The 25,002-nt window shown below is 37.9% G+C and overlaps 1 protein-coding gene across 1 annotated transcript; it reads left to right on the forward strand.

Annotated features, from left to right (window-relative positions):
- On the forward strand, nt 21,456-23,513 carry PRR32 (proline rich 32). Its single transcript, NM_001122716.2, has 2 exons — nt 21,456-21,590; nt 22,386-23,513. The coding sequence occupies exons 1-2, from the start codon at nt 21,571-21,573 to the stop codon at nt 23,260-23,262; spliced, it is 897 nt and encodes a 298-aa protein (NP_001116188.1). The 5' UTR covers nt 21,456-21,570; the 3' UTR covers nt 23,263-23,513.

Raw genomic sequence — 25,002 nt, forward strand, 5'->3', positions numbered from 1 at the left:
CTCACCGTAAAAATAAATCAATCCATATAGAAAGATACAAGAACAAAAATAAAAATTCCCTGAAATTCTATATTGAATACTGTTTTTATTTTAATTTAAAAGTTTGTGTGTAGCAGAGGCAGAGCAAGATGACGGAACAGAAAGTTCTACCAATCCTGCCCTGTAGGAAGGACACTAAGTTTAAAAATATCTACACAGAAAACAACAACAACAAAAACAAAACAAAAACAGCTTCATAAGAAAAAATATCAGGTGAGCACTTACAGTTCCTGGTTTTAACTTCATATTGCTGAAAGAGGCACTGAAGAGAAAGAAAACAGGCCTGAATCACAGAGGCCACCCATCCCCCTCCCCTGGCAGCAGAGCCCTAGTATGTAGAAAATCTCTGGGTGCTGGGTGAAGAAGAACACAGCAATTGTGAGGCACTGAACTCAGTTTTGTCCTGTAAGAGCAGAAAGGAAAACCCAACCGAATGGAGCTGACACCCTCACACTGAGGGAGCTTTTAAAGGATCCCTAGCCAGAAGAGAATCACCAATTCCAGGAACTTAAGTTCCTGCAAATTTCACCACCAAGGGCTATAGTGCTCCAGATCTCTAAATGAACTTGAAAGGCAGTCTAGGCTATAATGACTGCAACATTTATATAAGTTCTAGTGCTGAAATAGGCCCAGAGACAGTGGACAGGGGTTATGAAACATACTGAGACACCAGCTGGGGCAGCCAGGGAAGTGCTAACATCAACCCTCCCCTAACACCAGGTGGCATAGCTCATGGCTCCAAAAGATATCCCCTCCATCTGCTTGAGGAAAGGAGAAGAAAGAGTGGGGAGGATTTTGTCTCACATCTTGAATACCAGTTCAGTCACAGCAGAACAGGGCACCAGTCAGAGTTGTGAGGCCCTGGTTCTAGGCCACAGTGCCTAGATGACATTCCTAAACACAACCTGGGCCAGAAGGTGACTCACTGCCTTGAAGAAAATTACTCAATCCTGATAGCATTCATCATCTGCTAACTGAAGAGCCCTTGGGCCCTGAGTAATCTGTGCAATACTCAGATCTACATTGAGAACCCTGGGTGAGACTCTGAGACTTGCTGGCTTCAGGTGAGACTCAGAAAATTATCAGTTGTGGTGGCTACAGGACAAAACTTCTGTTTGAGAGAAGCAGGGGGAAAAGTAAATACGACATTGTCTTGCACATCAGGTACCAGCAAAGCCACAGAGGGGTAAAGCGCCAAGAGGGCTTTGGGGGTTCCTGTTTCCAGGACTTCACACTTGGATGAGATGTCTGGACCTGCCCTGGGCCAGAGGGGAGCCCACTGCCCTGAAGAGTGAATCCTGGGCCAAGCAGCATTCACAACAAGGTGACACAAGAGACTTTGGGCCTTAAGGGAACATTGGTGGTAGTCTGGCAAGAGAAGAAGTGCATCTTGGGGTTTGAGTGCCAGCTCAGCCACAATACAATAGAAAACCAGGTAGAGTTATAAGGTTTTTGTTCTAGCCCCTGACTCCTGATTAGCACTTCTGGACCCACCCAAAGCCTGAGAGACCTTGCTGCCCTGAAGGGAAGGGCATAGGCCTAGCTGGCTTTGCCACCTGATTATTGTAGAGCCCCAGGACCTTGACCAAACATAGGCAGTAGACAGGAAGTAGTTTAGCCTGACTAAGAAAAAAATAGAAAAAAATTCAAATAACTAAATCAGAAATGCAAAAAGAGACATAATAATTACAACTGATACTGTAGAAATTCAAAGGATCATTAGAGACTACTATGAGCAACTATATACCAATAAATTGAAAAATCTTGAAAAAAATTAATTCCTAGATACATACAACCTATCAGAATTTAACTGTAAAGAAATCCAAAATCTGAACTGACCAATGACAAGTAATTAAATGGAAGTCATAATAAACAGTCTCCCACTTAAGAAAAGTCTGGGACCCTATGGCTTCACTACTGAATTCTACCAAACATATAAAGAAGAACTAATACCAATCCTACTTAAACTATTCCTAGAAATAGAGGAGGAGGGAATACTTTCCAACTCACTCTATGAGGCCAGTATTATCCTGAAAACAAAGCCAGACAAACACACATTTAAAAAAAAAGAGTCTACAGCCCAATATATCTGATAAATATTGAGGCAAAAATCTTCAACAAAATTTCAGTGAACCAAATTTAACAATACATTAGAACGATCATTCATCATGACCAAGTGGAGTTTATCCCTGTGATGCAAGGATGGTTCGACATACACAAATCAATCAGTGAAAAACATCATATCAACAAAATGAAGGACAAAAACAATATGATAATTTTAATTGATGCTGAAAATTCATTTGATAAAATTAAGCATTCATGCCTGATAAAAACCCTTAAAAAATGGCATATAGAAAGAACATACCTAAACACGATACAAACCATATACAATACACCTACAGCTAGTAGTGTCATGCTAATTGGGGAAAAACTGAAATATTTTCCTCTAAGATAGGGAACATGACAAGAATGTTCACTGTCACCACTCATTCAACATAGTACTGGAAATCATAGCTGGATTATTCAGACAAGAGAAAGATAAAAATGTCAACCAAATTAGAAAGAAAGACATCAAATTATCTTTGTTTGCAGATGATGTGATTTTATATTTGAAAAAAACTAATGAATCCACAAAAACCTATAAGAACTGATAAAAAAATTGAGTAAAATTGCAAGATACAAAAACTACATACAAAAATCACTAGCATTTCTATATGCCAAAAGGAAATCGTGTGAAAAAGAAACAAAAAGGAATCCCATTTATAAATGCCACACATAAAACTAAATACCTAGGCATTAACTTAACCAAAAAAGTGAAAGGACTTGTATCACAAAAACTCTAAAATACTAATGAACGTAAGTAAAGAGGACAACAAAAAAATGAAAAACTATTTTATGTTCAGGGATTGAAAGAATCAGTATTGTTAAAATATCCACACTACTTAAAGCTATATACAGATTCAATGCACACTCTATCAAAATACTAATGACATTCTTCACATAAACAGAAAAAAAACAACCCTAAAGTCTATATAGAAGCATAAAGGACCCAGAATAGCCAAAGCTATTTTAAGCATAAAGAATACTGTAGCCCTGCAGTATAGTTTGAAGTCAGGTAGCATGATGCCTCCAGCTTTATTCTTTTGGCTTAGGATTGTCTTGGCAATGCGGGCTGTTTTGTGGTTCCATATGAGCTTTAAAGTAGTCTTTTCCAATTCTGTGAAGAAAGTCCTTGGTAGCTGGATGGGGATGGCACTGAATCTATAAATTACCTTGGGCAGTATGGCCATTTTCATAGTGATTCTTCCTATCCATGAGCATGGAATGTTCTTCCATTTGTTTGTGTCCTCTTTTATTTCGTTGACAAGTGGTTTGTAGCTCTCCTTGAAGAGGTCCTTCACATCCCTTGTAAGTTGGATTCCTAGGTATGTTATTCTCTTTGAAGCAATTGTGAATGGGAGTTCACTCATGATTTGGCTCTCTGTTTGTCTGTTACTGCTGTATAGGAATGCTTGTGATTTTTGCACATTGATTTTGTATCTTGAGACTTTGCTGAAGTTGCTTATCAGCTTAAGGAGATTTAGGGCTGAGACGATGGGGTTTTCTAGATATAAAATCATGTCATCTGCAAACAGGGACAATTTGACTTCCTCTTTTCCTAATTGAATACCCTTTATTTCTTTCTCCTGCCTGATTGCCCTGGCCAGAACTTCCAACACTATGTTGAATACGAGTGGTGAGAGAGGACATCCTTGTCTTGTGCCAGTTTTCAAAGGGAATGCTTCCAGTGTTTGCCCATTTAGTATGATATTGGCTGTGGGTTTGTCATAAATAGCTCTTATTATCTTGAGATGCGTCCCATTAATACCTAGTTTATTGAGAGTTTTTAGCATGAAGGGCTGTTGAATTTTGTCAAAGGCCTTTTCTGCATCTATTGAGATAATCATGTGGTTTTTGTCTTTGGTTCTGTTTATGTGATGGATTTTGTTTATTGATTTGCATATGTTGAACAAGCCTTGCATCCTAGGGATGAAGTCAACTTGATCGTGGTGGATAGGCTTTTTGATGTGCTGCTGGATTCAGTTTGCCAGTATTTTATTGAGGATTTTTGCATCGATGTTCCTCAGGGATATTGGTCTAAAATACTCTTTTTTTTTTACTGTGTCTCTGCCAGGCTTTGGTATCAGGATGATGCTGGCCTCATAAAATGAGTTAGGGAGGATTTCCTCTTTTTGTATTGATTGGAATAGTTTCAGAAGGAATGGTACTAGCTCCTCTTTGAACCTCTGGTAGAATTCAGCTGTGATTCCATCTGGTCCTGGACTTTTTTTGGTTGGTAGGCTATTAATTATTGCCTCAACTTCAGAGCCTGTTATTGGCCTAATCAGGTATTCAACTTCTTCCAGGTTTAGTCTTGGGAGGGTGTATGTGTCCAGGAATTTATCCATTTCTTCTAGATTTTCTAGTTTATTTGCGTAGAGGTGTTTATAGTATTCTCTGATGGTAGTCTGTATTTCTGTGGGATTGATGGTGATATCCCCTTTATCATTTTTTATTGCTTCTATTTGATTATTCTCTCTTTTCTTCTTTATTAGTCTTGGTAGTGGTCTATCAACTTTGCAGATCTTTTCAAAAAACCAGCTCCTGGATTCATTGATATTTTGAAGGGTTTTTTTGTGTCTGTATCTCCTTCAGTTCTGCTCTGATCTTAGTTATTTCTTGCCTTCTGCTAGCTTTTGAATGTGTTTGCTCTTGCTTCTCTAGTTCTTTTAATTGTGATGTTAGGGTGTCAATTTTAGATCTTTCCTGATTTTTCTTGTGGGCATTTAGTGCTATAAATTTCCCTCTACACACTGCTTTACATGTGTCTCAGAGGTTCTGGTATGTTGTATCTTTGTTCTCATTGGTTTCAAAGACCATCATTATTTCTGCCTTCATTTCGTTATGTACCCAGTAGCCATTCAAGAGCAGGTTTTTCAGTTTCCATGTAGTTGAGCGGTTTTGAGTGAGTTTCTTAATCCTGAGTTCTAGTTTGATTGCAATTTGGCATGTTTTTGCAGTGGCTGGTACCGGTTGTTCTTTTCCATGTTTAGTGCTTCCTTCAAGAGCTCTTGTAAGGCAGGCCTGGTGGTAACAAAATCTCTCAGCATTTGCTTGTCTGTAAAGGATTTTATTTCTCCTTCACTTATGAAGCTTAGTTTGGCTGGATATGAAATTCTGGGTTGAAATTCTTTTAAGAATGCTGAATATTGGCACCCACTCTCTTCTGGCTTGTAGAATTTCTGCTGAGAGATCCGCTCTTATTCTGATGGGCTTCCCTTTGTGTGCAAGGTACTGGTACCAAAACAGAGATATAGACCAATGGAACAGAACAGAGCCCTCAGAAATAATACCACACATCTACAACCATCTGATCTTTGACAAACCTGACAAAAACAAGAAATGAGGAAAGGATTCCCTATTTAATAAATGGTGCTGGGAAATCTGGCTAGCCGTATGTAGAAAGCTGAAACTGGGCCATGTGCAGTGGCTCACGCCTGTAATCCCAGCACTTTGGGAGGCCAAGGTGGGTGGATCACGAGTTCAGGAGATCGAGACCATTCTGGCTAACACGGTGAAACCCCGTCTCCACGAAAAAATACAAAAAAATTAGCCAGGCACGGTGGCGGGTGCCTGTAGTCCCAGCTACTCAGGAGACTGAGTCAGGAGAAATGGCATGAGCCTGGGAGGCAGAGCCTGCAGTGAGCTGAGATCGCACCACTGCACTCCAGTCTGGGTGACAGAGCGAGACTCCGTCTCAAAAAAAAAAAAAAAAAAAAAAAAGAAAAAAAAGCTGAAACTGGATCCCTTCCTTACACCTTATACAAAAATTCATTCAAGAGGGATTAAAGACTTAAATGTTAGACCTAAAACCATAAAAACCCTTCAAGAAAACCTAGGCATTACCATTCAGGACATAGGCATGGGCAAGGACTTCATGACTAAAACACCAAAAGCAATGGCAACAAAAGCCAAAATTGACAAATGGGATCCAATTAAACTAAGGAGCTTCTGCACAGCAAAAGAAACTACCATCAGAGTGAACAGGCAACCTACAGAATGGGAGAAAATTTTTGCAATCTACCCATCTGACAAAGGGCTAACATCCAAAATCTACAAAGAAGTTAAACAAATTTACAAGAAAAAAATCAAACAACCCCATCAAAAATTGGGCAAAGGTATGAACAGACATTTCTCAAAAGAAGACATTTATGCAGCCAACAGACACATGAAAAAATGTTCATCATCACTGGCCATCAGAGAAATGCAAATCAAAACCACAATGAGATACCATCTCACACCAGTTAGAATGGCAATCATTAAAAAGTCAGGAAACAACAGGTGCTGGAGAGGATGTGGAGGAATAGGAACACTTTTACCCTGTTGGTGGGAGTGTAAACTAGTTCATCTATTGTGGAAGACAGTGTGGCAATTCCTCAAGGATCTAGAACTAGAAATACCATTTGACCCAGCCATCCCATTATTGGGTATATACCCAAAGGACTATAAATCATGCTGCTATAAAGACACATGCACATGTATGTTTCTTTTGGCACTATTCACAACAGCAAAGACTTGGAACCAACCCAAATGTCCATCAATGATAGACTGGATTAAGAAAATGTGGCACATATACACCATGGGATACCATGCAGCCATAAAAAGGGTGAGTTCATGTCCTTTGTAGGGACATGGATGAAGCTGCAAACCATCATTCTCTGCAAAATATCACAAGGACAGAAAACCAAACACCGCATGTTCTCACTCATAGGTGGGAATTTAACAAAGAGAACACTTGGACACAGGATGGGGAATATCACACACCGGGCCCTGTCATGGGGTGTGGGGAGTGGGGAGGGATAGCATTAGGAGATATACCTAATGTAAATGATGAGTTAATGGGTGCAGCACACCAACATGGCACATGTATACATATGCAACAAACCTGCATGTTGTGCACATGTACCCTAGAACTTGAAGTATAATGAAAAAAAAAAAGCATAAAGTATAACTGGAGGAATCACATTACCTGACTTCAAATTATACAGAGTTATAGTAACTAAAACAACATGGTACTGGCATAAAAACAGACATATAGACCAATGAAACAGAATAGAGAATCCAGAAACAAATCCACACACCTACAGTAAACTCGTTTTTGACAAAGATTACCAAGAACCTACACTGGAGAATCACAATCTCTTCAACAAATGGTGCTGGTAAAATTGAATATCCATATGCAAAAGAATGAAATTAGACCCCTATCTCTCACTGTATACAAAAATCAAAACATAATGGATTAAAGACTTCAATCTAAAACCTCCAAGTCTGATTCTTCTGCAAGAAAACATTGGGGAAATCTACAGGACGTTGAACTGGGGAAAAATTTCTTGAGCAATACCCCCACAAGCAAAGCCACTGAAGCAAATATGGACAAATGAGATCACGACAAGTTAAAAAGATTCTGCACACAAAAGTATACAATCAACAAAGTGAATAGACAACTTAAAAATGTGATAAAATATTTGCAAAATATCTATATGATAAGAGATTAGTAATCAGAATGTAAAAGGAGCTTAAATACTATGATATGGTGTGGCTGTGTCCCCCCCAAATCTCATCTTGAATTGTATCTCCCACAATTCCCACATGTAATGGGAGGGATTCAGTGGGTGGCAATTGAATCATGGGGGCTGGTCTTTCCCATGCTGTTCTCATAATAGTGAATAAGTCTCACAAGATCTGATGGTTTTATAAAGAGGAGTTCCCCTGCACAAGTTCTCTCTCTTTGCCTGTCACCATCCGTGTAAGATGTGACTTTCTCCTCCTTCTGCCATGATTGTAAGGCCTCCCCAGTCATGTGGAACTGTGAGTTGATTAAACCTCTTTTTCTTTTTAAATTACCCAGTCTCACATATATTTTTATCAGCAGTGTGAAAACAGACTAAAACAGTAAATTGGTACAAGTAGAGTGGGGTGCTGCTCCAAAGTTACTCCAAAATGTGGAAGTGACTTTGGAACTGGGTAACAGGCAGAGGTTGGAACCATTTGGAGGGCTCAAAAGAAGACAGGGAAATGTGGGAAAGTTGGGAACTTCCTAGAGACTTGTTGAAAGGCTTTGACCAAAATGCTGATAATGATATGGACAATGAAATTCAGGCTGAGGTGTTCTCAGATGGAGATGAGGAACTTGTTGGTAACTGGAGTAAAGGTGACTCTTGCTATGCTTTAGCAAAAAAAAAAACTGGTGGCATTTTGCCCCTGCCCTAGAGATTTGTGGAACTTTGAACTTGAGCGAGATGATTTAGGGTCTCTGGCAGAAGAAATTTCTAATCAGCAGAGAATTCAAGAGATGACTTGGGTGCTGTTAAAAGCATTCAGTTTTAAAAGGGAAACAGCATAAAAGTTTGGAAAATTTGCAACCTGACAATGCGCTAGAAAAGAAAAACCCATTTTCTGAGGAGAAATTCAACCAGGCTATAGAAATTTGCATAAGTAACAAGAAGCCAAATGTTAATTGCCAAGACAATGGAGAAAATGTCTCCAAGGCATGTCAGAGGTCTTCATGGCAGCCCCTTCCATCACAGGCCTGGAGACCCAGGAGGAAACAATGGTATCTTGGGCTGGGCCCACGGCATCCTTGCTCTCTGCAGCCTAGGGACTTGGTGCCCTCTGTCCCAGATGCGCCAGCCATGCCTCAAAGGGGCCAAGATACAGCTCAAGCTGCTGCTTCAGAGGGTGGAAGCCCCAAGCCTTGGCAGCTTCCACATGGTGTTGAGCCTGTGGGTGTCCAGAAGCTAAGAGTTGAGGTTGGAGAACCTCTGCCTAGATTTCAGAGGATGTACAGAAATTCCTAGATGACCAGGCAGAAGTTTGCTGCAGGGATGGGGTCCTAATAAAGAACCTCTGATAGGGCGGAACAGATGGAAAATGTGGGGTCAGAGCCCCCACCCAGAAATCCTACTGGGGCACTGCCTTGTAGAGCTGTGAGAAGAGGGCCACCATCCTCTAGACCCTAGAATGGCAGATCCACCGATGGCTTGCACCATTCACCTGGAAAAGCAGCAAACACTCAATGCCAGTCCATAAAAGCAGCTAGGATGGGGGAGATACCCTGCAAAGCCACAGAGGTGGAGCTTCCCAAGGCTGTGGGAGCCTATCTCTTGCATCAGCATGACCTAGGTGTGAGACATAGAGTCAAAGGAGATCATTTTGGAACTTTATGATTTTACTGCCCCAATGGATTTCAGACTTGCATAAGGCCTTTAGCCCCTTCGTTTCAGCCAATTTCTCCCATTTGGAATTTCTGTATTTATCCAATGCCTATATCCTCATCATATTTAGGAAGTAAGTAACTTGCTTTTGATTTTACAGGCTCAGAGGCAGAAGGGACTTGCCTTGTCTCAGAGGAGACTTTGGACTTTGACTTTTGAGTTAATGCTGAAATTAGTTAAGACTTTGAGGAGCTGTTGGGAAGGCATGATTGATTTTGAAATGTGAGGACATGAGATTTGGGAGGGGTCAGGGGTCAAATATTATGGTTTGGCTGTGTCTCCATCCAAATCTCATCTTGAATTGTAGCTCCCACAATTCCCATGTGTCATGGGAGGGACCCAGTGAGAGGTAATTGAATCATGGGGATGGGTCTTTCCCATGTTGCTCTCATGATAGTGAATAAGTGTCATGAGATCTGATGGTTTCATAAAGAGGAGTTCCCCTGCACAAGTTCTCTCCCTTTGCCTGCCAACATTAATGTTAGACATGACTTTCTCCTTATTCCACCATAATTGTGAGGCCTCCTCAGCCATTTGGAACTGTGAGCCCATTAAACCTCTTTTCCTTTGTAAATAACCCAGCCTCAGGTGTGCATTTATTAGCAGCATAAAAAGACTAATACACAATTGTATAGGGAAAAAAACCCTAATAATTTGATTGAAAAATGGGCAAAATATTTGAATAGGCATTTCTCAAAAGAAGACATACATGTGACAAACATGCATATGAAAAGAAGCTCAACTTCCTTGATCTTCAGAGAAATACAAATCAAAACTACAGTGAGATATCATCTCACCCAGTAAAAATGACTTTTATCCAAAAGATAGGCAGTAATAAATACTGGCGAGGATGTGAAGAAATTGGAACCCTCGCACACTGTGGGAATGTAGATTGTACAACCACTACTGAGAGCAGTTTGAAGGTTCCTCAAGAAACTAAAAATAGAGCTACAATATTACCCGGCAATCCCACAACTTGGTATATACAACCATAGGAAAGGAAATCAGTATATTGAAGAGGTATCTATGCTATGCTCCTATCTTTGTTTCAGCACTGTTCACAATAGCCAAGATTTGGAAGCAACCTAAGTGTTCATCAACAGATAAATAGATAATGTGGGATTGCTGGATCATGTGGTAGCTCTATTTTTAGTTTTATGAGGACCCTCCAAATTTTTCTCCATAGTGGTTGTACTAATTTAGATTCCCACCAACAGTGTATAAGGCTTCTGTTTTTTTCACATCCTCAACAGCATTTGTTATTATCTGTCTTTTGGAGATAAGCCATTTTAACTGTGGTGAGATGATATTTCATTGTAGTTTTTATACGCATTTCTTGGATGATCAATGATGTTGAGCATCTTTTCTTACATCTGTTTGCCATTTGTATTTCTTCTTCTGAGACATATCTATTCAGATCTTTTCCTCATTTTTAATTGTACTATTAGATTTCTTCCTATGGAGTTGTTTGAGCTCCTTATATATTCTGCTTATTAATCCTTTGTCAGATGGATAGTTTGTAAATATTTTCTCCCATTCTGTGGGTTGCCTCTTTACTTTGTTGGTTATATCCTTTGCTGTCCAAAAGATTTTTATCCTGAAGTAGTCCCATTTGTTTATTTCTTTTTTTGTTGACTGTGCTTTTGATGTATTACTCAAGAAATCTTTTCCAAGTCCGATGTCTTGGACAGTTACCCCAGTGTTACCCTTAGAACTTTCATAGTTGGAGTGCTAATATTTAAGTCTTTAATTCATTTTGATTTGATTTTTGTATCTGGTGAAAGATAAGAATCTACTTTCATTCTTCCACCTAAAGACATCCAATTTTCTTAGCATTTATTAAAAGACTGTCCTTTTCCCAACGTATGTTTTTGACATCTTTGTCAAAAATGAGCTCACTGCAGATGTCTGGATATGTTTCTGAGTTATCTATCCTTTTCCATTAGTCTATGTGTCTATTTTTATTGAGTACCATGTTGTTTTGGTTACTATAACTCTGTAGGTCAATTTGAGATCAGGTACCATAATTCTTCCAGTTTTGTACTTTCTGCTCAGTATAGCTTTGGTTATCTGTGTCTTTTGTGGTTGCATCTAAATTTTAGGATTGCTTTATTTCTGTGAAGAATGTCATTAATATTTTAATAAAAATTACATTGACTCTGTAGATTCCTTTGAGACGTATGAATATTTTAACAATATTTATTCTTCCAATTTATGAACATAGAATATTTTTTCATATTTTTTCTCTTCAATATCTTACTACTTTGTTTTATGGTTTTCATTTTAGAGATTTTTCACTTCTTTGGTTAATTTCTAGGTATGTAATTTTATTTACAGCTATTAAAATAAGATTACTTTTTATTTCTATTTCAGATTGTTCACTGTTGACATATAGAAAAGCTAGTGATTTTTGTATGTTGCTTTTGTGTTCTTCCATTTTACTGGATTTGTTGATCAGTTCTAATTGTTTTTTTTTGGTGGAATCTTTAAGTTTTTTCCAAATATAAGATCATATTATCTGTAAACAAGGACAAGTTGTTTACTTCCTTTTAAATTTGGGTGTACTATATTGCTTTCTCTCATCTGATTGCTCTAGCTAGGACTTCCAGTACTATGTTGAATAACAGTTGTGATAGTGGGCATCCTTGTCATGCTCCAGATCTTAGAGAAAAGGCTTTAATTTGTCCCCATTTAGTATAATACTAGCTGTGGGTCTGTCATATATGGCTTCTATTATGTTGAGGAATGTCCCTTCTATCCCAGTTTTTTAGAGTTTCCATCATGAAGTGTTGTTGAATTTTATCAAATGCTATTTCAGCATCAATTGAAATGATCATGATTTTTATCTTTCTTGACATGATGCATCACATTAATTTGCATATATTGAGCCATCCTTGCATTGCTGGAATTAAACACATTTGGTGATGATGAATGATCTTTTACATGTAAATTTACATTCTGTTTAGTAATATTTTGTTGAGGATTTTTACATCAATATTCATCAGATATATTGGCCTGTAATTTCTTTCTTTCTTTATTTGTATTTTTGTGGTTTTTGTATCAGTGTAATACTGAACTCTTAGAACTAGTTTGGAAGTATTCCCTCTGCCTGTATTTTTTACAATAGTTTAAGTGGGATGCACATTACTTTTTCTCTATATGCTTGGTAGACTTCAGTAGTAAAGCCATCAGGACCAGTCCTTTTTTTTTTTTTCTGAAATACTTTTTATTATGGCTTTGATCTCATTACTTGTTATTTATGTTTATGTTTTCAATTTATTCATGGTTCAATCTTGGTAAGCTATATGTCCCTAGGAATGTATTCATTTATTCTATATTTTCCAATTCATTGGCATATAGTTGCTCATAGCAGGTACTAATGATCCTTTGGATTTCTGCAGTACTGGTTGTAATGTCTCCCTTTTCATCTCTATTTTAGTTATTTGGGCATTTTGTCTTCTTAGTCTGGCTAAAGTTTTGTATATTTTGTTTACCTTTTCAAAATACCAGCTTTTTGTTTTATTGGTCTTTTGTATTATTTTCTTCATTTCAATTTTATTTATTTTCACACTTACTTTAGTATTTATTGTCTTCTACTAATTTTGGGTTCAATTTGTTCTTCTTTTCCTACTTATTTAAGATGCATGATTAGGTTATGTATTTCAGCTTTTCTTCTTTTTTGATGTAGACACTTTTGGCTATAAACTACCATATTAGTACTGCCTTCACTGTATCTCATAGCTTTCAGAATGTTGTGTTTGTATCATAATTTGTTTCAAGAAATTTTTAAATTTACCTCTTAATCTTTTCATTGACCACTGATCATTCAAGAGCATATTTTTTAATTTCCATGTGTTACTATAGTTTCCAAAATTCCTGTTGCTATGGATTTCTGATTTTAGTTAATGTTGTTAAGAGAAGATGCTTCGTATTATTTTATTTCTTAAAATGTATTGTGGCCTAACATATGGTCTACTTTTGAGAATCATCCATGTGCTTAGGAGAATGTATATTCCACACTCGTTGAAGGAAATGTTCTGTCAAATATCTATTAGGTCCATTTGGTCCTATATATTCACTTTACATACCAGGGTACTCCAGTGATGGGTGCATTATATTTACAGGTGTTACATTCTCTTGCAGAATTGACCCTATATCACTATATAATGACCTTCTTTGTCTCTATAGTTTTTCAGACAAAATATATTTTGCCTAATTTAAGTATAGCTCCTCCTGCTCTTTCTTATTTTTCATTTTCATAGAATATCTTTTTTAATTCCTTAAATATGTCATGCCACTTTCTCCTGACTTGTAAGGTTTCTACTGCAATGTCTGCTGCCAAATATATTGCAGCCCCATCATATGATATTTGTTCTTTTCTCTTGCTGCTTTTAGAATCCTTTCTTTATCTTTAACCTTTTGGCATTTGATTTTTAAATTCCTTCAGGTAGTCTTCTTTGGGCTAAATCTGCTTGGTGTTCTATATCCTTTTTGTATTTGATTATTTATCTCTTTCTCTAGGTTTGCAAAGTTCTGTTATTATTCCTTTGAATAAACTTTCCATCCCTCTCTCTCTCTAACTCTTTATGGCCAGTAACTTAAATATGCGGTTTTAAGTTACTAGGTTTTAAATTTACTAGATCTTGCAGTCATGATTCTTTTTCTTTTTCTCTTCTAACTTTGTATTTTCAAATAGCCTGTCTTGAATCTCACTAATTCTTCTTCCTGCTTTGAAGAGGGACCCTAGTTTGTATGGCTAGCCTTGGAGAAGACTAGGACTGAGAGACAGGAGAACAGGGGAAGATCAGAGAAAATCTTTTTCTTCTGAAGCTACTTCTGAGGACTTAATTTGGGGTTATTGTTTTCTGAGCCCAACACCATATTAGAAATTAAATCTGGGAAAATTTTAAAACACAGGAATATATAAGCACGTATTCCATTAATCATTAGAGCAATGACACCACATATCATGTAGCCTGAGAAAAACTCCCACTGCACCCTCAGGAGAGAATTAGACTGAATAAGTGAAATAATATAATCATATAATAATGAAAATATTTTGACTCTGTGGGCCCTTTGAAAGGGTATGGGGAGGGTGGCATTTTTCCCTAAACCAAATTTTAGAACTACTACTCTTAATGAACTAAATGTTACCTATCTTTTAAAAAACTAAACATGATGTTTGGAGGTCTGTGGAACAAAATGGAACTGGAGTGTGGCATGCAGTCAAAAAGATTTTATGTTCTATTGTCCCTCTATCTAGTCAGTGGTTTAGAGCTAATGAAAAAATAGTGCCCACTAGAATTCCGGGCCTAACCCCTCAAGCCTAGACTACAAGGCTACATCACCTTGTCAGTATTTCTCTAATGTGGTCAGAAGATCACCTCATTAGAATCAGTAAATAAACTAAAGATAACTGGGCCCCAGTACAGATCAATTGAATCAGAATCTAAGGGATGGAGCCAAGGAATCTGCTATTTTAATAAGATACCCAGGTCAGTCTGTTGCTCAATAATACCTAGAAACCACAGAAATAACCAAGTGTTCAGTTCACCCTGAAGTGGTGCAATGCTCCATACCTTTATTTGCTCTCATTTGACCATGTGCCAAAAGACCCAGTACCTCTATAAAGGTTCATCAGTTTGGCTCAGATCTTATTATAGGGCTGTTGAAACTTCACTACCTGAATGATATTCCTTTAGAAATTTCCTGTAGAAATTTTCTAAGAGTCCCTCTCTTATTGCCTTGCCCTCATCAATCTGATCTTTTATTCTGTTGAACTCCCACACTAAGTAAACACACATATCAATTCATCACTCTAAGAACTAGAGATAGAAGATCTTAAATAGTTCAAAAATAAAGGCAAACTATCCAGGACCTTTAAACAAACACTTATGTCAGCAGCATGGGCATACGGCATAATTCAGGCAAGAATTAAGAATGGTCTCTCTGGATAGGCTTTATTATTATTTTAATTTTGAGTTTCATCAGCAAATTTTCCTGCACATTGAATTATAGTCAGTCTATAAAAGTGTTACACTTCCTCCAACAAGCTATTTATTTGACCACTTGAGAGGGATGTAGGGAAGGCTTCTGGGTGGGAAAATTTTTTTTCCCTCTAAAGTAACAAATCATTTGGAGAATCAATCAATCAAATCTTCACTATCAGGAAACCATGCAACATTCTTTTTTCCCCAGGCCTTCCTCTTTAATCATCACACGCTTTCAGTGATTCCTGTTGTGAAACACAAGTTTCTAAAGCCCAATTAAATATGTGGTCAAATACAAAAATGCCCTCTTTATTCGAACACAGCTACTACATTAAATATAACAATGGGTGATTTTATGTAGTGCCAATTGAAAAGTTTAAAGCATTATACACCATGGGGTTTTTTTAATAGTGTGGTTAATCCTCACCACCTTAATGATTTAGGAAAAGAAAAAAGGCCTTATATGTAAGAGGGATAGGTGGCCACCTACACAATGCTAATTAAATTGTGCCAAGAAGTCTTCTTGCTCTAGAAATATCACCTATGGTTATATGAACCTAACGTGTGAAGTGACTTACAGTTTGCAGAACAATTTCAAATAACTATATTTAATTTTCTCAACAGTTCTGAAATAGGAAAGGCATTATCATCTCTATTTTACATAAAAACACTGAGTCTAATATGTACAAGGAAATTATTATATTTAAGCCACCTAGTATGTGACAGTCATTATTCATACACTACTTAACATAACTCTCTCTCTAACCCCATTTTACAGGTAAGGAGAATGAGGTTTAGAGAAGTTAAGAAACCTATCCAAGATAACACAGTTGATAAGTGGTAAAGCTGAGATTAAACCCAGATTTGTGCCCTTATGATTCCAGAGTCAAAGCTCATAACAATTTTGAAAAACAGATTCATTTTTAATAAACTGATAAAAGGTTTCCAACATGAATTTCCAGTGTCTTGTTTATAAGCAAGATGAAATTAATCTAAAATATATTTTGTTTTTCAAACCAAGTACTCAAGAAATTAAGCATGCCCTCAACTCCTGGGCCCAGCAATTAAATCTGACATGGCAAATACATGTATTACACCATTATAAACTTATGGCCTGATGCTTTCTGTAAACTTTAACCTGTTTTCATTAACTGTTCTAATTTTATTAGTCCATGTTTGCATCTTAATTTATATTATATGCCCTATATGAACATAAACATATTGCTTTTATGTTTTAATTTATATATTTATCTAATTCAGAAGGGTATTCTCTAGGGTTATCATTAATACCTCACTTGGATGACTCAAGCTCGGCCCCCATTTCACCACACACACACACACACACACACACACACACACACACACACACTACCATGGAAATAATATGAGGAACCCTATATCTTCTATATGTGCAGCTCAAGAGCTCAACATTAATTAAATCTTAATATTGATAATGCTGGGCTCATATTGCCATTAGCTCCTCAGTAATGGTCACTTGATGCTGTCCTATAACCAATTCCTATTATCTGTCACCCACCCCAATTGCTCCAAGACAGTGTTTTCAGTCATCACCACCTTGCTACATTATTAACTAACACTTCAATCACTTGCTGCATCCCTGCAGAGGCAGACTTTCTGGGATGTGAGCATTATAGCCTGGATGATTTCTTCATTGCAGAACTACCTCTGGATGAGGGTCAATGGGTCCATGCATTACAAAAAACCTAAACTCAGATTTGGTACACACGTTTTTATCTGATCCACTTTTGTGATTGACCTAGAACTATAATTTAGAGGCCACGTGATTAAATGAATGAAATATTGGCTTTGGTGTCAAATTGGCTGTATCTGAATATTGTTTGCCATTTACTAGCTTTGGGACCATGGGAAACTTCTACTTATTTTCTCTGACTCTCTTTTTCCTCATTTATAAAATGAGTATAATAATAATAGCTGCCTTAAAAGTTTGCTGTGACCATTAAATGAGACAATGTATATCAAATGTCTGGTGTACAGTAAGTGGTAAAAAAAAATAGATTTTCTTTTACTTCTTCCTTTTTTTATTCTCATCTCACTTGCCCTGGTGCTACTTAATTTCTGGTTCCGACCCCCATGAGAGCAAGAAAAATGAGTGATATATGTTGAGGAAACTTCTGATAGCTTCTGATTTGTACAAAGAGATAACCTGTTTGGAAGTAATTGCCATGTTACCCATCTTAAAACAAATATGTAAATATTTAAATCTGAAACAAAAAACTCTATAAAAGCAATAATAGTCTATTGAATTTCATACAGCTAGATCCAGCAGTGAGGCACATGTTGTTAGTTGCTTTTGCCAATACTGGTGGTGATATAGCCACACTCTCACCTGTTTGTTCTCATCAATTACCACACAGAGTTTGCAGGACAGCTGGTGGCAGAGAAGACAGGACTACTGCCTATAGCTGTGTAATAGAATAATGCTGCCTGGCCCATTTTGGGAAAGTATCATGCTTTCACGATTCTCATGCTTTAATACATGGAATAAATGACTACAGACTCCTCAAAAACCTGGTATATCTTCCAGAAGCACTTTTTGGACATCATAAACTTAGAGAGTTTTTCACATGCATAGCCAAATTACATTTGGAAAGTGAGCAAATGGGTAGGATTTTCTGATGACTGTCTCCCCAGAGGTCAACATGACAATTTCCTTATAAGCTAGATGGAAACAGAGAAAAATCATCTTTATGTCTTTATATCCTGAATTCTTATTTGAAGCAAAAGAGAAAGGGTGTATTTTAAATGATACTTTGCCTTCATTTACACATCTGCAAAATTTCTTTAAAAAAAACCCCACAGCAACACAATTTTGGTAGATCAACCACACTTTTTTAAAAGTTTCAGATGGGGTTTCATTATATTTCCCAGGCTGGTCTCCAACCACTGGGCTCAATCCATCCTCCTGCCTCAGCCTCCTGAGTAGCTGGGATTACATGTGCATGCCACCATTCCCAGAAATCATATTTATATTAAAGTCATAATTGCTGTGCAAAAGTAAATATATCTTTCTACAGACCTTACTTAGCATTTCAATACTGTCATCAAAATTTTTTGAGAGGTAAATAAATGATATCTGGAACTGTGTCATGAATAAAGAGGCTATGGGTAATGAAAGGCATTTATACCTTAGCTACTTCTTAGGCCCCCTTCAAAACTCATGTTGAAATTTAATTGCCATTGTGACAGATTAAGAGGTGAGACCATTAAGATTAATTAGACCATGAGGTCTCCACTCTCATGAATAGACTAATGTTGATAAGGCAGTAGTGAGTTTGGTATTGCTAGAGTGGGTTGGTATGAAAGTGAGTTTGGCCCTCTCTTCCTTGCTGTCTCTCACTCCCTTGTGCTTCCACCTTTTGTCATGGGATGCCACAGCAAGAAGGCTCTTGCCAGAAGTCAGTTCCTTGATATTGGACTTTCCATCCTCCAAAACTGTGATAAATACATTTCTTTTGTTTATAGATTACCCAGTCTCAAGTATTATGTTATAGCAGCAGAAAATGGACTCAAACAGCTGCCTTGCTAACTAGGCTACTTTTTGGTGAAACTTCAACCTTCATTACCCATGTTTCTCTCCCCAAAACTGTTATTTAAGTGAAGTAAAGAAAAAGGCATATACTTTATTACTGAATTTTCAATGCTCAGTGGATGATTGAGTTACCCTGATAGCTTTTTGCGAAAAGGTAGGTTTTGAGATAGCTGTATTTAACTTTGAAATTTGAATGTATTCAAATATTTATTTATGGGTAAAATTTATGGGTAAAACTTCATGAATTATCTGGTTGATCGCTATCTCTAAGGGGTCTAATTGGTACTTTATATTTCTATTTCTGCCAAATATGAGCCCTAGTTTTGATTTAAAATATGAACTACAAAATGCCATTTTTTTCTTTATTTCTACTTCTATAACTGTTCTTCCCATAGCATGACATCTCCTTTTCTGCCCATGTATATCAATTTTTCAAAACACAGCAGAAGTTTTAATCCCACATAAACTGTGTCACAACTACTTTAACCCACAATTATAGTTCCTTCTTCTGAATTTCCATTGCAGTCTTAGCTTATACCATGCAGCTAATGGTCTGTGGCTATTTTTTATGCCATTCTTCAATAATTTTATAGATGTTATTTTGCCTCCCAAGAAAATTAGAACATTCCCTGAAGTCAATATGGATTGCATATTTAACTTTTTTGGTAAAATCAACACTTAACACAATAGTGAATGCACGCAGTAGACATTCAATAAATATGGACTATTTGCACAAAGGAAAACAAGTTACAAACAAAATATGAGGTAATATCCATAAATTATACACTTCATGGCTTTGGAAAATTCTTGGTGCCATGGTCATTGTCATTGTTCCCAGCAATTTGGTTCCTATATTACACCATACTGTTATGTAATCCAACTAAGATGATATCTTACCAAACAGGTATTTCTAGGTAAAATTGTTTATTATTATAGTAATTTGATAAGAACAAAAGGCATTCCTCAGGCTTTGTTGCTATTATCAGGAAAAAAATATGCAACCTATTATACTGAAACTATTTATCTAAATGTGATTCACCAACTATTAGCAGGCATTAACCCAAGTTGCAATTTCCTCTCTGATACGACAAGAAGTAAAAGAGCTTTAACACCCCACAACAATAATACTGCTAATAATACTATTATTTTTACATAAGGACAAGGTGCGTAATAAACTGAAGCAAGAATAGAAACAGAATCTGGGGAATCAAGAGATTACTTAATAGTGAACCATGCTAGGCAAGTGAACAGATTCTTCTGGAAAATATGTTGGAAACATGCCACTTTCTTGTATAGATGGAGACAACACACTCTGGCAGGAAGATGTGGACTTGCAGACCCCAAAGGTTACTTCTATATGAGTTGTGTTGATTTGCAGTAGTGACCATTCCTTTACATTAGTACTTTGTACTTATGCATTATTCTGTCTCTCTCACACACACACAGATACACAGACACCATATATCTAAAAATTGAAGCACATGGTATTTGAGTCTGTTATCTTTCCTTAAGAGAAAAGAAATATACATTACTGTTGAACTGTAGCAACATATACTAATATTGAAAATAAGGAAGACACAATCTCCCAGGTCTAGCCTGCACAGCACAAATTTTATGTAAATTTAGGCAGGTTTGCCAAGTTTATGGCTTTGTCCTAGAGCAACAGTAATTGTCTTGGATGATGGAATGGTTGTTGTAATTTCGGAGCAATTAATCTGTAGATCAATGGCAGAAAAGAAAGCTGGGAAAGTAAACTTGCTTAAAATGAAATTTAGGCTGGACAAACAGAAAGTTCCCTATGCAAAAATGTTGCATGGCCAAACCTAAGCTAATATTTATAAATTTATGATACCTGTTATGCCATTTATTCTGACCCTCCCAACTTGAGAGAAACTTCCAGAGCTCTATTACAGGAAATACACACACGTACACACACACACACACACACGCGCGTGCACACAGACATAGACAGAGACAGAGAGAGAGAGAGAGAGCTTATAAACTAACAGACAAGATGAAGGATATAACTGCAACGTGAGGGGCTAAAAAATAATGTCACAATGATTCTTAGAGGAGTTCTTGTTTCATCTTCACAGATAGAAAAGCAATTTAGCCCCCAAACCTCTGTTCTCCACCAAGTTAATAATATGCATCCCCAAACTGGAAGTTTAAGTTACAATATTAGGCACAATACTCTGCTCAATGTGTTTCCAAATTTGAGGAGACTTGACAACTACCTTGTAGAAACTAAAACTTCATAAATAACTCTTTAAAAAATATCATGCTTCCATGATTCTTCTAAATCCTTCTTGAAATGATTTGTCTTTCCAACTGCCCTGCATCAGAATTAATGTAGTGAATGCCTTTACCATCCATCTACTACTGTGCAAACACCAGTCCCACATTTAAGTTCAAAGGAGTGTCACAGATTCATCCCCACCCACCCCCCTCCCCACTCCTTTTCTCCCTCCCTTCCTTAGCAACTGGTAACCCCAGAAAGAGAACTCCAAATCTAGAAAGAAGCAGTTGGTCCCTGGCTTCATTCTAGTTGCCAAGCCTCTAAAGCAGAAGCAGGAGTCATTTCTCCAGACCTAGCTGGCCTGTTCAGTGGGTTATCTCCACCACCTCAGGAAAGCTATTCTGATCAAATTTCTTCATGGCTTGTATTGAAAACGTGTAAGTACAAAACCGAGTACAACTGTTTAATTTTGAAGGCAAAGTCAGTTTGAATTGCTTTATTGTGTAACTGGGACAGGGATGAATGGGTTGGAGGAGATGTGGGAGGAAATTACAGACAAAAACTTGAAGGACATAAATTTAGTTACTAAGAATACCGGATTTAAGAGTGGCAACTTTGAAGTGTAATTTTGAAAGAAAATTTACAAATCCCTAGTCTAAACAGTGGGGTTTAAACATGAGGAAATTCTTACTCTAGGGTGTGGTGGTGGTTGAATGAAAGAATTTTTAACAAAATTTGGTGTGAGTGTTGAATGATACCTCAAGAAGAGAAACTTGTGTGTTTGTTAACATAACTAACTTTTCTTTGACTTCTGTGAAGAAAAAGATATTTTACTTCGGAAGACATACCAGAACAATCTTGCCAGAATCTGAATGCCAGGATTAGTGAATCATAGATCCTAGAGAGAATTGAAAAAGCTGGTATTTTCTATTATATGCTTACTATTAAGTTATGTGCATCTTCTAAGCTTCCTTGCTGCCTTGTGGAGGTGGGGAAATGAGGAATGAAATAGGCCACTGAGTAGTCATGAAGGGTAATCATGTAGCCTAGTACTAAAGAAGCCACCTGGGAAGGGGCCAGAGCGCTGAGCAAGTATTTGGCTACATATAGGGGAGAGGGCACTCCTTTTTTCCCTGGTATATTTCAGTGAGCTCAGTCAATTACATATTGTAGCTATTTTCTGGTCAGTGCATTTCCATTTTTATTAGCTGTTTGATTTCTGTTTTTGCAAGCCTTGGAGGGCACGCCCCTTCACCCTTGGTAGTATCTGTGGACAAAAATGGGAACCAGGAGCTGCACCACGACATGCCCCTGCAATGTCTGAGTTCCAAGCCAGAGGATGACGCAGAGCCCTGGGGTCAACCTCAAGTACCGCTGAGACCTTCCGTCAATGTGCTGACTGATCTGGATAGCAAGCAACTGGAGTGGCCCTCTGAAAGAACAGGATCCTGCATTCCTCTTCATAGCTTGAGAGCTCATAGACACCCCTACGGGCCACCACCTGCTGTTGCAGAAGAGTCCCTAGCAACAGCAGAAGTAAACAGCTCTGATGCACTGGCAGGCTGGAGGCAGGAGGGACAGGATGCTATTAATGTGTCCTGGGAAGTCTCTGGCGGCCCTCCTGCACTGATAGTAGGGGGCACAAAGGTCAACAATGGGGGCACTGAGAGAGGCAGTAATAACGCAAGGTTGCATGTAGCTTTGCCACAAGGTAAAGGGTTCTTTCCACCCAGGGGCCCACAAGTGAGAGGCCCTTCACATATTCCCACCCTTAGATCAGGGATAGTAATGGAGGTGCCGCCCGGAAATACACGAATAGCCTGCAGAGGAAAGCTGGCTCATGTTTCTTTCCCACTCAGGGGCCCATGCCACCCCATGCATAATTGGCCAAGGCCTATCCCGTTGTCTTCCAGTACTCCAGGTTTACCTTCTTGCTCTACTGTTCATTGTTTCATCCCTCCTCGACCTCCGATTTTCAATCCCTTTCTCACTATGCCTCTTCCTTTTGCTCCTCCTCCGATATTTGGTCCTCCACTGCCTTCTTATTTTGCCCATTTCCATTCTGGGGGAATGCCAGCTCCTGCATCACCCAACAGAGAGCACAGCTGATGGCAAAAAGGAAGGATGAAAAAAGGGTTGTGGAAAGAGGTGAAAGTTATTCATTTATGCTTTTATATTTGAAACCTTGTACCCTCCCACACTCTGTTTAGCACTAATGTGCCCTACTTGAAACCACGTACCCTCCCACACTCTGTTTAGCACTAATGTGCCCTATTTGAAACCTTGTACCCTACCACACTCTGTTTAGCACAAATGTGCCCTACATACTGGAGATTAAATAAAGATTGTGAAGTCTGAAATGCTGTAAATTATTTTTCAAAATGACACCCCAGGAACCAAAGCCTTGGATTTTGTGTTCTATCTTTAAGGTAATTAAAGCAGAAACAAACCTGTCAGTGTTTTCTAAATGGCTTAGTTAAATGACTGTTACTATTTTCTATTGAGTTGTCTTGCAGTGTGACTGGGGAAGGGTGGTTAGGTTCTTCCTAGGCCAAGGCTAGATTGGGGAATCTCTATCTACCCAAGGCTATAAGGGGTGCTTAGAGCTGGATGGCTGAATTAAGAAAAGTTCCATAAAGGCAGCCTAAAGTTCAGATAATAGAGAAAAATGAACAAACAGTAAAAGAAGCCAGATGAGATTGAGGTGAGAGTAATAGAGCTAACATTTAGCAGTCATAGGCAGAACCAAGTTGAAAAGTCAGGAAAGAAGGAGGAGGGAAGATGGAAGAGTATTCTTAGACCACTGCTTCAACACGAACTGGTGTTTGTGTTTCAACTTTTCCTTGTTGCTAATTACATAGTATATATAGCTCTGGCTCAATAAGAGTCCAAAATCAAGGTGGAACAGGACTGATCCTTTCACCCTTTGTCTCAACAAAGAGCTTACTATATGTATTAGATCCATTCCCACACTGCTAATAAAGACATACTCAAGACTGGGCAATTTATAAAGGAAAGAGGTCTAATTGACTTACAATTCCACATGGCTGGGGAGGCCTCAGGAAAATTACAATTAGGGCAGAAAGGGAAGCAAACACGTACTTCTTTACATGGCAACCAGAGAGAAAAGTGCAGAGTGAAGGTCGGGGAGGCACTTATAAAACTGACAGATCCTGTGAGAACTCACTCATTATCACGAGAACAGCATAAAGATAACTGCCCCCATGATTCAATTACCTCCCCGTGGATCTCTCCCAAGACAGACACAGGGGGATTATGGGAACTGCTGTTCAAGATGAGATTTGGGTGAGAACACAGCCAAACCATATCACTATATGCTCAGAACATTGAAGTGCAAATGAAAATACTTTACTCACATGGAAATGTTTTTCTCAGATACTGCTGTGTTTGTATTCCTCATAATTTGCTACAGCACCCCATTATAATGATGGTTCTGAGAGATTATCAAAATGTTCAGATGGGAGCTTTTAAAATTTCAAGTAACAAAAATAAGGATGCAGCATGCAGTGTGAAAGGATGTACATTTTGACAGCTGTATAACAATTCACTATATAGTAAAATGACCTAAAATATAGTGCCATTGTACATGAACAACCAATCAACTAGAAACGTCTAAAGAGGATGTTTCTTCAAATAAGAATTTTTAATATTCAGTGCTGATAGTGTAGGTGATATAACCAGTTAGACAGAGGCTGAAAAAGCCTGCCAGAGACAAAAAACAATAAAGAATTTTTAGCACCAAGAAAGAGTCATTTGCTACTCTGGTGAGGACACATAGATTGATTAAGTTTCTTTTATTTGTTTCATAACAAGTCATTCTAAATGTAC

This window comes from Homo sapiens, chromosome X, assembly GCF_000001405.40.
Source record: "Homo sapiens chromosome X, GRCh38.p14 Primary Assembly".
NCBI lineage: Eukaryota > Metazoa > Chordata > Mammalia > Primates > Hominidae > Homo > Homo sapiens.